Here is a 12,498-nt window from a genome sequence, read left to right as displayed (position 1 = left end):
CTTCCAGTCCAGAAAAACAGCTCCCCACGTTCCCCTTGATAAGTCATTACTTGAGAGGAGTAACAAACACTCTTGATTAAATCTTGGAAATAAAATGTCAAAAGGTACAAAAACTGATTACTCAAAACCCTTTCATTTCTATCATTAAAATGGCCATACTGCCCAAATTCACAGATTCAATGCTATTCCTATCAAACTACCAACGATATTTTCCACAGAATTAGAAAAAAAATTTTCTGAAATTCGTAAAGAACCAAAAAAGAGTCCAAATGGCCAAAGCAACCCTAAGCAAAAAGAAAAAAGCCAGAAGCATCACGCTACCCAAACTTAAGCTATACTACAAGGCTATGGGAACCTAAAACAGCATGATACTGGTATAAAAACAGATACAGAGACCAATGAATCAGGTTAAAGAACCCAGAAATAAAGCCACACTTAAAGCTATCTGATCTTCAACAAAATTGACAAAAACAAGCAATGGCTAAAGGACTCTCTCTTCAATAAATGGTGCTGGGATAACTGGCTAGCCACATGTAGATTGAAGACTGGACCTTTTCCTTTTACCATGTACAAAAATCAACTCAAGGACTAAGTCAATTTCAATTGATTAAAGACTTAAATGTAAAACCTGAAACTGTAAAAACTCTAGAGGAAAACATAGGGAATATTTTTCTGGACATAGGCCCTTGCAAATAATTTATGTCAAAGACTCCAAAAAGAATTGCCACAAAAGCAAAAATTGACAAATGGGACATAATTAAACTAAAGAGCTTCTGCACAGCAAAAGAAACTATGAACAGAGTAAACAAACAAACCACAGAATGGCAGAAAATAGTCTCAAATTATGCATCTGACAAAATTCTAATATCCAGAACTGAAAAGGAGCTTAAATCAACAAGCGGTGGCTCACGCCTGTAATCCCAGCACTCTGGGAGGCCAAGGTGGGTGGATCACCTGGGGTCAGGAGTCTGAGACCAGCCTGACCAACATGGTGAAATCCGTCTCTACTAAAAATACAAAAATTAGCTAGGCCTGGTGTTGGGTGCCTGTAATCCCAGCTACTCAAGAGGCTGAAACAGGAGAATCACTTGAACCCGGGAGGCGGAGATCACAGTGAGGTGAGATCACGCCCATTGCACTCCAGCCTGGGCGGCGAGAGTGAAACTTTGTCTTAAAAAAATAAATAAATACAATAAAAAAAAAGCCAAAAGCAAACAGCTCCTTAAAAATTGGGCAATGGATATGAACAGACACTTCTCAAAAGAAGACACACATGTGGCCAACAAGCATACGAAAAACTGGCCAACATCACTAATCATTAGAAAAATGCAAATCAAAACTACGAGATACCACCTCACACCAGTCAGAGTGGCTATTATTAATAAGTCAAAAATCAACAGATGCTGGTGAAGTTGCAGAGAAAAGGGAACACTTTTACACTACTGATGGGAATATAAACTAGTTCAGCCGCTGTGGAAAGCATTTTAAAGATTTCTCAGTGAACTAACAACTACCATTAGACCCAGCAATCACATTACTGGGTATACACCCAAAGGAATATAAATCATTCTACCATAAAGACACATGCACACGTATGTTCATCACAGCACTTTTCACAATAACAAAGACACAGAATCCACCTAAATGCCCATCAACAGTGGACAAGATCATGTCTGTTGCAGCAACGTGGATGGAGCTGAAGGCCATTATCCTAAGTAAATTAATGCAGGAACAGAAAACCAAACACTGCACGTTCTCACTTATAAGTGGTAGCTAAAAACTGAGTACAAATGGACACAAAGAAGGGAAGAATAGACACCAGGGCCTATTTGAGGATGGAAGGTGGGAGGAGGGTGAGGATCAAAAAACTATAGGGTACTATGCTTATTACCTGGGTAATAAAATAATCTGTACAAACCCTCGAAATATGCAATTTATTCATGTAACAAACCTGCATATGTACCCCTTGAACCTAAAATAAAAGTTGGAAGGTGAAACAAACAAAAATAAACCAAAACCACCTCATTTGTAAAATTCTGAATCTGGAAATTCTCTCCCCTCGTCACAGCCACCTTTTCTTTTTCTTTTCCTCTTATACTCAATGAACCAATTCTTTATACTGATGCTGTCTTTAATTCCTTGAATCACTTTTTAGTTTCCTCTAGGTCCAGTCCTACGTGAATCAGTTACCCACTACTTTATGTAGTTTTTTTATTAGCATCAAGAAGTCCCTTTGATCTACTGTTATCTTTACTTTCGTACCTACACTTCACTGCTGGGAAAACACTACAGTATATTTTCTCTGATCTCAGTACTGGGTGGCTAAGTGTTACCAGAAAAAGTCACAAAATTGTGCCAATTGGCTCAACTAGAAATTTCTGGCTCTATTATTAGTATACACTTGGATGGAGTTGCTCAGAAATTCTTCTGTTCACCTCTAGTTGACTCTTCCTTATGCTGTTCTCTTTGGGAAGGATTCCAAACCCTTTCCAGTCTACACACCAGACACCACCTACCTTAAGAGATGACTCTGCATCTTCCTCTGAGAAGATACGGGACATCTGTTACAAATTCTCTAAAAATTCTTCCTTTTTCAAACAACATTTCTATGTGTAATCACCATTCTTTCTTTTTCGGATGAATTGACCTGCCTTTTTAAGACATGCTATTGATTTTATTTCCTTCCACCTCTAATGCCATTACCCACTGCTCATTAACATGACACATGTTGGAGAATATATTTCCCCCCATTTCTCTCCCTTGATATCCATGTCTAATCACTTGCCAGGTCATACTGATTTTTATTTGATGCCAGTCATATTTAGTCCCTGTAAAACACAGGAAAAACATAGGAACATGCATATCAACCAAATGCTGAGTTTTTCTATTCCCTGAGTTTCTCCACGTCCCAACCTATCCAAAATGCTGCAGTAAGTGTTACCATTTTGCCTTTCTCAAAGGCCTTTCAAGCCTGCTGCACAGCCTATAGAACACATTCTGAATTTTTTAGCATTTCTTTTAAAGCCTTCCATGATCTGGAAAGGACTCACTTTTTTTTTTTTTTTAACTTCAACCACTTGCTCTCATACATGGTATGTTTTAGAATAATGAGCAATATTTTTCCAGAGTTTCTCTGCTGCTGTGCTGGTTCAAGTCTGTTACTCCACCCGTAACAGTTTTTCCCCAACAAACTTTCTTGTTAAAGTAGATTTAGCCCTCAAAACTCAGTCAAACACCATCTTCTCTTTTACCTAATTTCCCTATCTCTTCAGGTAGCGATCTAAAGGTTTGATTTGTACCCTACAGGGCACTTAATTCTAACTAGAGCTATAGTTACTTCTCCTTCTCAATAGATTACTGCATTTTGTTAATATTTTAATCACATACAATTTCTAGCAGAGTTGTTTGCACATAGCCATTGTTAAATAAGAATATGTTAAATAGAACTGACCAATGAGGAAGAAATATATTAATCACCTTTTATCAGTGGCCACAGAAAACTTTCCTGCTTCCTGATTGTACTAAATTACTAAATCCTAAAAATTCATCTACTTCAGTCTAGAAGTTTTTATAGATGAAGGACCTGAGTACCAGATAATTCAAGTGATCTGCCCATATTCACATAGTTAATAAATTAATCTGCCCATAATCGCATAGTTAATGAATTAAGTACTTGGAACTTAAGTCTGCAAAGTTCCTGCCCATGCTTTTTACTTTACCAGGCAGCCTGTCTATGAGTAAGTCAGAGTTTGAATAAAGTTTTTGGAACTTGGAATAATTCAGTGTTATTAATTGTGAAGATATTTTCATTATATGCATTACCATTAACCAACACAGTATTTGGTTTCTGCATTACTTCAAAGGTTTAGAACTGAACATGCACATCAATCTAGCAAATACATCTTATAAATATTTAAGGAGAGGTGGAGTCACAAGAGATATTCAAGCTCTTTTCACAATGATTTTCACTCTTAGTCTCTTTCTATGGCTTTTAAAAACATAGGCTTAGGCCAGGCATGGTGGCTCATGCCTGTAATCCTAGCACTTTGGGAGGCCGAGGCAGGCTGATCAAGAGGTCAGGAGTTCGAAACCACCCTGACCAACATGGTGAAACCTTGTCTCTACTAAAAATACAAAAATTAGCTGGGCGTAGTGGTGCACGCCTGTAATCTCAGCTACACAGGAGGCTGAGGCAGGAGAATCGCTTGAACCCGGGTGGCGGAGGTTGCAGTGAGCCAAGATTGGGTCACTGCATTTCAGCCTGGGTGACAGAGCAAGACTCCGTGTCAAACAAACAAACAGGCTTGAAAAAAGCACGAGTGCTATTATTTCTCATCTGATAACAATGATGTAAAGTAGGAAAACAAATCCTCATTTTTCAGATGGAGAAAATAAGTCTCAGAGATTTTAAGTAACCACTAAATCATACATATTACCATGACTTAAACTATGGGTATATGTCTTTGGGTTTTGTGTAAAGGGCATTGTACTTTGCAGTAAAGGTCCCTGTTTTTTTGCCATTATCATTTCTAACTGCCATGATAATACATATCCTTGTAGGGGTTTATATCTAATTCTCCTTGCTGAAAATAGTTTTTAAAAGATTTGAAATACCAAAAATGAGGCAGAGAAATGTGGTAACATTTTCCATGAGAAGGTATATATAAAAGAAAGTGTCTTGTGTTATGACTTATCTATGTGGGAATTTTAAAAGATCCTGGTGGCAATTCTACTTATATGAGGGTAAGCAACAACTTACTTTGAATTTTCATTTAGTGCACTCCCAAGTAATGAACACATGAAGGAAGAAATGAGGTTATGAAAGACATAAAAGTATATTGTGCTTACTTTTAAAATCTTCATATATAGCTTTCATTTCAATTGAATGAAAGACAATAGAGACAATTGTGAGAAGAGATTATTCCTGTAAAGTTGAAATATATTTTTAGTTCCATGTGCATCCAATTCTGAACCTTTAAAGTAACATAGAAACTAAGCACTGGATATCCAGTTAGAGTAGCCAATATAATTATTATAATAGAAATAGCTATTACTATAAAAGTAATATTTCATTGCTTATTATATTTTCTTTCCCTAGACAATAGATCTATTTTCCAATAAAAGAGCAATAGCTAACAAATAGCACACAACAAATATGTGAATGAAGGAACACATACAATTACATTTTTAAACAAAATATATATTGTATACTCCAGATTTTCTCTATGATTATAGTGCTTTTAGTGAATTCCCCTTAAGTGCTCAAAAATAGATATTTTTACCTGCCTAGTGGCTATTTTTTTTTCAGTCAAGCATTTAGACACAGGTCTTCTAATTTAGTAATATGACTCTGAGAGATAAATATATTTTACATCAAGCATACCTGTATAGACGACTTGTACTTTTGCTTTGAAATTCTGGAGAACAGCCATAAAAATTATGTTTGACAGATATTCACCCCCCAAAATTACAAAATTCAAAAAGAGTCAAATAAATGTCAGCAGCAGACGGAAGTTTAGTAGACCAGCAACTAGCACATATTCTGACTTTATAAAAATAATCAGGACAAAATCTGGAAAACTTATTAAAAGTAGACTTTGATTCTTTACTAGAGTTTCCTGTCTATGTTGCTATAACTGGAATTTTCTAGACATGACCAAATGATAGTATTGAATACAGACAAGGTAATATGGTGTTACTTTTTTGTATCCAGTTATACAAAAGATCCAATTATACTAATATTCAGCCTTATGGGATAGGGAAAAGAGGGAAATGGACATTTTATTATTTAAATACTGAACTATTTAAAGTTGTATTAAATTTTAAAGCATAAATCTCTAAAACCTGACATCTAAAAATTCAATCAAAATCTATGAATTAGAAATAATCTTGCTCTCTCTTTTCTTAATACAGCCTCACTCTCTTACTCTTTAGCAACAGAAGCAATATTGCTGCTCTACAAATTCTTTATATAATGGATTTCAAAACTGAGACTCATGATCTGTGCTGATCTTTTCCTTTTTGTGCCTTCTTTTTAAAATTCCATACACACAAATTATTTGAGAGAATGAAGCATAAGGTATTACTATAGTAGAATTTACAGATTTAGACAGATTTCAAGAGGCTATGAAAAGCATGTACTTACGTCTCCTACGTTAAACAAACTGAAGTGTTCCACATCGATGGATTCTAGAAGTTGGGCCTATGATGTTGCTAAAATGATTTTTATAGTGACATTGAGTCATGAGCCAAATGGTGACTGGGTAACATGCTAATTTTACTCCTGTAAATGGGACACATGAAATGAGACTCACAGACTTGGAGGAAAGAATGGAGAGAATGTCATCAGCATGCGCTGAAGACTTCTCTTTAATCTGAATACTATGATTCCTTTTAAGTAAGAAAGAAAGAAAGAAAATTCCCCTTTTTCCACTATTACAAAATGCAATTATATAACTTCTCAACTTTGACTTTGTGAAATCATGGGAAGTATGTTTAAAGACCTTGAGTAGTTTACTGTGTGTTTAGTGTTTGGTCTACATTAGTATTTCTGAATTGTTTTGGTCTCAGATATCTATTACATGCTCAAAAATTATGAAGAACCCCACTTAGCTTTCATTCTCCAGGGATAAATCTACCAATATTTAACATATGGGAAATTAGAAAAACTGAAAAAAATTAAATAAGTATTAATTCACCTCAAATACTATGAATAAACCCATTACACTTTATATAAATATTTTAATGAAAATAAAATATATTCTCCAAAGCAAAAAAAAAAATAGTGACAAGTATGGCATTGATTTACATTTGCAACTCTCTGGCTTAATTTTGCAAATGTCTGGCTTAATAAAAGACATCTGGTTTCTCATATTTGCTTCTGCATTCAGTATCTCTTAACATGTTGTTTTAGTTGAAGTACATAAGAGAATCTGGCTTAACAGAGATATTATTTTTTTTAGCTGGAAAAGTGAGGAGAATTTTAATAGCCTTTTCAGATAATTATGGCTTTTTTTCAATGTGGAATCTGAAGTCATATGAATATGCTTTCCATACTCTGCCTTTAGAAAGTTCCCATTGTCTTTCTTGCAGTTTGAAATGGTCTTTTGTCCACGCAATTTTTTTCTTTTTCTTTTTTTTTTTTTAACTATCAGACATTGGTCATCTGGAAAATATTGGTACACTGGGTTATGTAAATTTCCCAAACGGTAGCACATTTAATTATACAATATCACACTTGTTGGCAACACCAACTATGTCATCTGAAGAGTCTTTAAGAATTGGGAAACTGACAAGTTCACAGGGGCAGATAATAGGTTTTCTGAAATTATAATTTTTGTTTGAAAGTTCAGATTTTTTCATTGGCAAAAGACACTGTTAGATTTTGCTTTCCTAGAAGTGACAAGCTCACTTTGTTCATTTTCAAGAAAATTTCTGCCAAATGTCCAAGTTTGAACAACTAGTTTGCCTGTCACTTGTTCGTTCAAGTAAAAATGGTGATCCATGAAAATAATGTCTGGCTCAGCTCTCAACCCACAGTTGCACAAGGTGCTTTACTTGTGATAACCACATGTTTGATACACAACAGAAGTGCTTCATGAGATGTCCCATTTCATCACATGAATATTAAAAACATGTGTACTCAAAGGTCGAGATTCAAGAAAATGAATTTTTTTTTTTACTGCTTCATCAAGTACATTCTTAGGTAAACCTGGAACTAAAAAAATACTAATTGTGAGTGTGTAGGGGTGCAGAATACATAGATCACTAGGAGAGTTCAGTGCCACTGACTTGCTTAGTGCAAAAGTTCCAGCAGTTCCCTGCCCACCCCCACCTTGCTTTTGCATCATTCCTGCAAATGTCAGCCTTCTTCCCCACCCCGAATGGCATCATTACTTAATTTCTCCTCTCGAACTTTCTTTAGATCAGACTCAAATACTTTTTCCCCCTACAATGTTTAACACGTAAAAACTTTAAAATGAGAACTCTTTACCTGTAAATGTTTAAAATGTTAGAAGTACTATCTTTCTTTAGAAAATACTTTTATAATTGGGCAACGAGTGACCTCAAAGCTACTCATAAATTCTTATACTCATTCCTGGTTTACCCCTATACTATCCCTAATAAAAACAATTTCTTTCTTTCTTTTTTTTGTATGCTCTTTAAATTTTATTTGTATCTTGCTTTCTTACTCTCCATAGCAAATCTTACCTAATAACTTTGTGGAGACCAAGGTCATCATTCATCTTCAATCCTCTTTCTTTATTATCACATTTAAGGTCATCCATCTCTTTATTCAAGAGTCCTTTTGCCCACCATTATTAATACCTGACTGGTGCTCTTGATTCTATCTTCTTCCTCATTATCATTCCTTCAATTCTGCCTCTTGCTTCTGGAGTTACAATTTTACTTCAGCTACTTCTTTAACACTTTGCAAATTGCTTACATCTTCCCTGTTATAAAATCTTTTATCTTTTAACTCTGCATTTTTTAAATCTTTCTTTTCTTTTTTTTTTTCCTTTCTTTTTGAGACAGGGTCTCACTTTGTTGCCCAGGCTGGGGTGCAATGGAACAATCAACCCTGCATGTTCTTTAAGACATTCATCGCTTTTTCTTTCATTTACTCCCATATAGGAAAAGAGGTAGATACTAATTTTCCCTGCTTCCTCTACACTGCTTTATTTTTAATTCCCCTTGTAATTTTACACATGTATCTATTAACTTAGGAGGACTGTTTTCTCAGGAACTATCACTACAGATTATTCACCAAATAATCTGTACACCAAATAATCTGTACACTAAATAATCACTACAGATTATTCACCAAATAATTATTCACCAAATAATTATTCACTCTTGCAATAGTCTTTTCACAATAGTCATCCATATCAAATTGTATTTAGCGTTTTACACTGCACTTTGTTGTTGTTGTTGTTTATATTTTTTTTGAGATGCAATTTTGCTCTTGTTACCCAGGCTGGAGTGCCGTGGCATGATCTTGGCTCACCGCAACCTCCGCCTCCTGGGTCGAAGTGATGCTCCTGCCTCAGCCTCCTGAGTAGCTGGGATTACAGGCATGCGCCACCATGCCTAGCTAATTTTGTATTTTTAGTAGAGACGAGGTTTCTCCATGTTGGTCAGGCTGGCCTCAAACTCCCGACCTCAGGTGATCCACCCGCCTCAGCCTCCCAAAGTATTTAAAGTACCAAAGCTCTTGGTATTCTCCTATTGGTCTTCTCAACCAGTTCTTATCTTTCCAGTCACACTCTTTCTCCATCTCCAGGTAGAATAAATAACTTTGTTATTGTGTTGATTTAATTCTGTCTTATGTGAGAATTTATTATTTTCATGTTGACCTCTTTATATTATATTTCTGGGTCTTTGATTTTCGAATCCACTACAATGTATGGCACAGAGTTTTGTATTTTGTTCCTAAATCCACAAAATGTATTATGTAGATTGTTCTTGATTATCTTACTCAAGATCCTCCTTGTTTAAGTAACTTGATCGAGGTCATACAGTTGTTCATAGTAAAACTAGGCTGAGAGTATGTGTCCTTATTCTTACCCAGTTCATTTTCCTGTCTAATGAAATATTTTTTATAAACTTAAGAAGATAAACACAGTTATGATCTCTAGCACACTTTCTTTTCTTATATTCACAATTATAACAAAAGATTTTTTAAAATAACAGCAATAGAAAGCATCTAGAATCCCGAGTAATCTAACCTATTTTCACTTCGTTGATGGCTTCCTCTTTTAAGTTTTTTATCAAATATATATGACGAAAGTAGCAAATTAAAGCATGGAATAATTTCTTCTGTCCTTTTGCTAGGGCTTTTTATATCATATATTTAATATTTCAAAGGGTTTATAAATCATTTATCCACTAATCTTTGCAATACCCCTGCTGAGAAAGTCAATTAGCTGCAGAAGTACTGCTGGTTGGCAAGTGACAAGTAATATTACCTGCACATTACAAAAGAAGAAACTAAAGCAGCGAAAGGTTAATCGACTTGACCAATGTCTTACCCAGTCAGCAGCAGTACTGACGTCAGAGAGGGGACCAGGGTTTATTCACATCAAAATCACAAAAGCATTAAGGGCCTGGGGCTGGTGGTGTTCTTTGTTATATAATACTTGCCAAATTATTTGTTTTATCTTTTCCTTTACTGGCTCTGTAAGAGTCCAAGGAAGAAAGATACTTTTAAAATCTATAACCTCTCATTAATCTATGACTTGCCCTCCTATGTTAAATAAATACTTAGATTTTCAAAGGATATTAGAACACTGACACAGTTATCAAAATAACTCATATTAACTTTTTCATCTTTAAAATCAAAAAAAGGATCCAATCAAGCTCAGTAATATTTTCTGGTCTGTTCCAAGATATAATAATGACCATAAGAATAACAAAACAGCTACGGTTTAATAGTGCCTTATGAATAATAACAATAACAAAAACAAATATTACATATGTGCCAGATATCACATCTGTGTATATGGATTATATAATTTAAATTTCTTAACAACTCTCTCAAAACAGTATTCTCATTATCTCACTTTAAAAGATGAAATAGTAAAGGTTTAGAAATCTTAAGTCATGAAACTAATAGGTGATTTAACCATTTACAGTTACCATTTTCCAATGTTTGCAGTGGGGTATAAACTTCCTTCACTTTCTGTTAATGGTTTGCCATCAATATTTCTTTTTAAATATGTAAGTAGTTTACATTATGTTTTGAGGTATTACTCTATAGGGTGATAGTCTATTGATATCTCAACAGTATCTGGGTTTTGAATATTATGATCTCCTATGCAGAGTATTAATTGACACCACCATCTTTTCCTTGATTTCTGTATTTGTTCTACAAACACTTCCTATTCCATCTCCCACAAATCTGGTTTAATTATCCAGGTGATGTTCCTCATATTCAGTTGCCTCACTGTTAGGGCTGTTTTGCCTTGTGATAGTAAAAGCACACTCTGTAGAGACTATGAGTTTGAGAAAGACCTATGAAAATATTGACACCTAAAAAAAAGCTTCCAAAATATTTTTGAAAATGCAAAAGTGAGATTAAAAGCATGTTTTATTAACATTATCAGCACTAATATTACAACTCATGAAATGCATCTCCTACTTAGTTATGTAATAAATTATATTAAATATGTGATTTGGATACATTTTAATATATTTGATAAAATGTAGTGTGGAGCTTCCAAAAGTGCAATTGCCCAGGATGGGAGAAACCTTAAAAATGGCCCTGCTCATAATGAAATAGAAGTGACTTTGATTGGCAGGTTGAGGCAGAGATGGTAGGCCCTGAGAATAAGGGAGCAGGGGTGCAGTGGAGAAGACTGCCTGGTGAAATAGGAGAGTCAGATATTAGTGATTTATTGAGTGGGAAGCATGAAGGTAGAGGATTCTAGGTTGACAATTTTAGAATTGCATCTAGATTTCTAACTTGGATAAATGAGAGGCCAGCACTGTTTAGTGAAGGCAAAAGGAACAGCAACGTGGAAAGTCTAAGAATGCCATTTTAATATGCCACAATGCTACATTTAAGCTAAACTCGGCGATCTTTTCTTTTCTGAGTGAATGAAAATGCATTAATTAAAAACACACATTTCATACACATGTTAATATCTGCTATTCTGCAAGCAAGTATTTTCTGTACAGTGTCTAAATATCTACTCCAATCGAAAAAGTGCTTAAACACTTTAATATGCCTCTTTTCAACCAAAAAGAAAAACAGTTGCTATGATCATGTTTCAACATATTTTAAATCTACACATAATCACTGCCAATTTATAATATCTTCTCTGCAGATGCTAATTTCCTATATAGCATTTTTTATCCCCTTTAACTACCGAAAATGTAATTGTTCAGTATTATAATTAATGTTTTTCATTGCTATTACATGTCTGAACGTTGTTAGAATTTTTTGTTAATCTTTTTATTAATGGAATGCTCTTCAGTACAATGTGTAATACTCTTCTTCTCTGACACTGTTATAAGTTATTTCAAAGATTTTCCATACACTTGTTTTAAATAGAATTTTCAAATCTTTCAGGCTAGTTTAAGTCAGTAGAATAGGCTCTAGAGAAAAGAAAATGCTGTAGAGCAGAAATGTGATTTAAATGTAAGTGTAAATAAGAAAGTATCAATTTGGCTAATGAGAAATATACCCATATATATAAAATATATAATGGATATATCAATCAATAGACATTTCAAAATGAGATTATCCACTGAACTATTTTAAAATATTAATTTAAAAAGTGGTCAAATCGCTATACTAACAAAATAAAAAAATTTTTTATAAGGTAACAAGATAAACAATATGTGTATTTATTTTGGCCAAGAGACAAGTTGTTATCTGGAAAATCATGACATGTTGTATATTATCAAAATTACTATCAATATCAAGCAGCTCTACTATTGACTCTCTTAGCAGAACTAGAAATTATTATTATGACTCTATTCCATTACCAGGAA

At 34.4% G+C, this 12,498-nt stretch overlaps 1 protein-coding gene and 1 long non-coding RNA gene across 7 annotated transcripts in view; one reads left to right on the top strand and one right to left on the bottom strand.

Annotated features, from left to right (window-relative positions):
• Nucleotides 1-12,498, top strand: part of LOC105375911 (uncharacterized) — a 268,808-nt gene that overhangs the window by 68,551 nt on the left and 187,759 nt on the right. The gene's annotated exons all lie outside the window — the stretch shown is intronic.
• PKIA (cAMP-dependent protein kinase inhibitor alpha) overlaps nucleotides 1-12,498 on the bottom strand; it is an 88,928-nt gene that overhangs the window by 7,839 nt on the left and 68,591 nt on the right. The window contains exon 1 of one of the 6 annotated variants that reach the window (XM_017013622.2): nucleotides 6,146-6,198. The exons of the other annotated variants lie outside the window; for them this stretch is intronic. The gene's annotated coding sequence lies outside the window, so the exon portion shown is untranslated. Of the gene's footprint in view, nucleotides 1-6,145; nucleotides 6,199-12,498 lie in introns of those variants that run through there. 6 annotated transcript variants of the gene reach the window in all.

The sequence above is a fragment of the Homo sapiens genome, chromosome 8 (genome assembly GCF_000001405.40).
Source record: "Homo sapiens chromosome 8, GRCh38.p14 Primary Assembly".
Classification (NCBI taxonomy): Eukaryota; Metazoa; Chordata; class Mammalia; order Primates; family Hominidae; genus Homo; species Homo sapiens.
The sequence above is the reverse complement of the archived record's forward strand: the minus strand, read 5'-3'. Positions and strand labels throughout refer to the sequence as shown.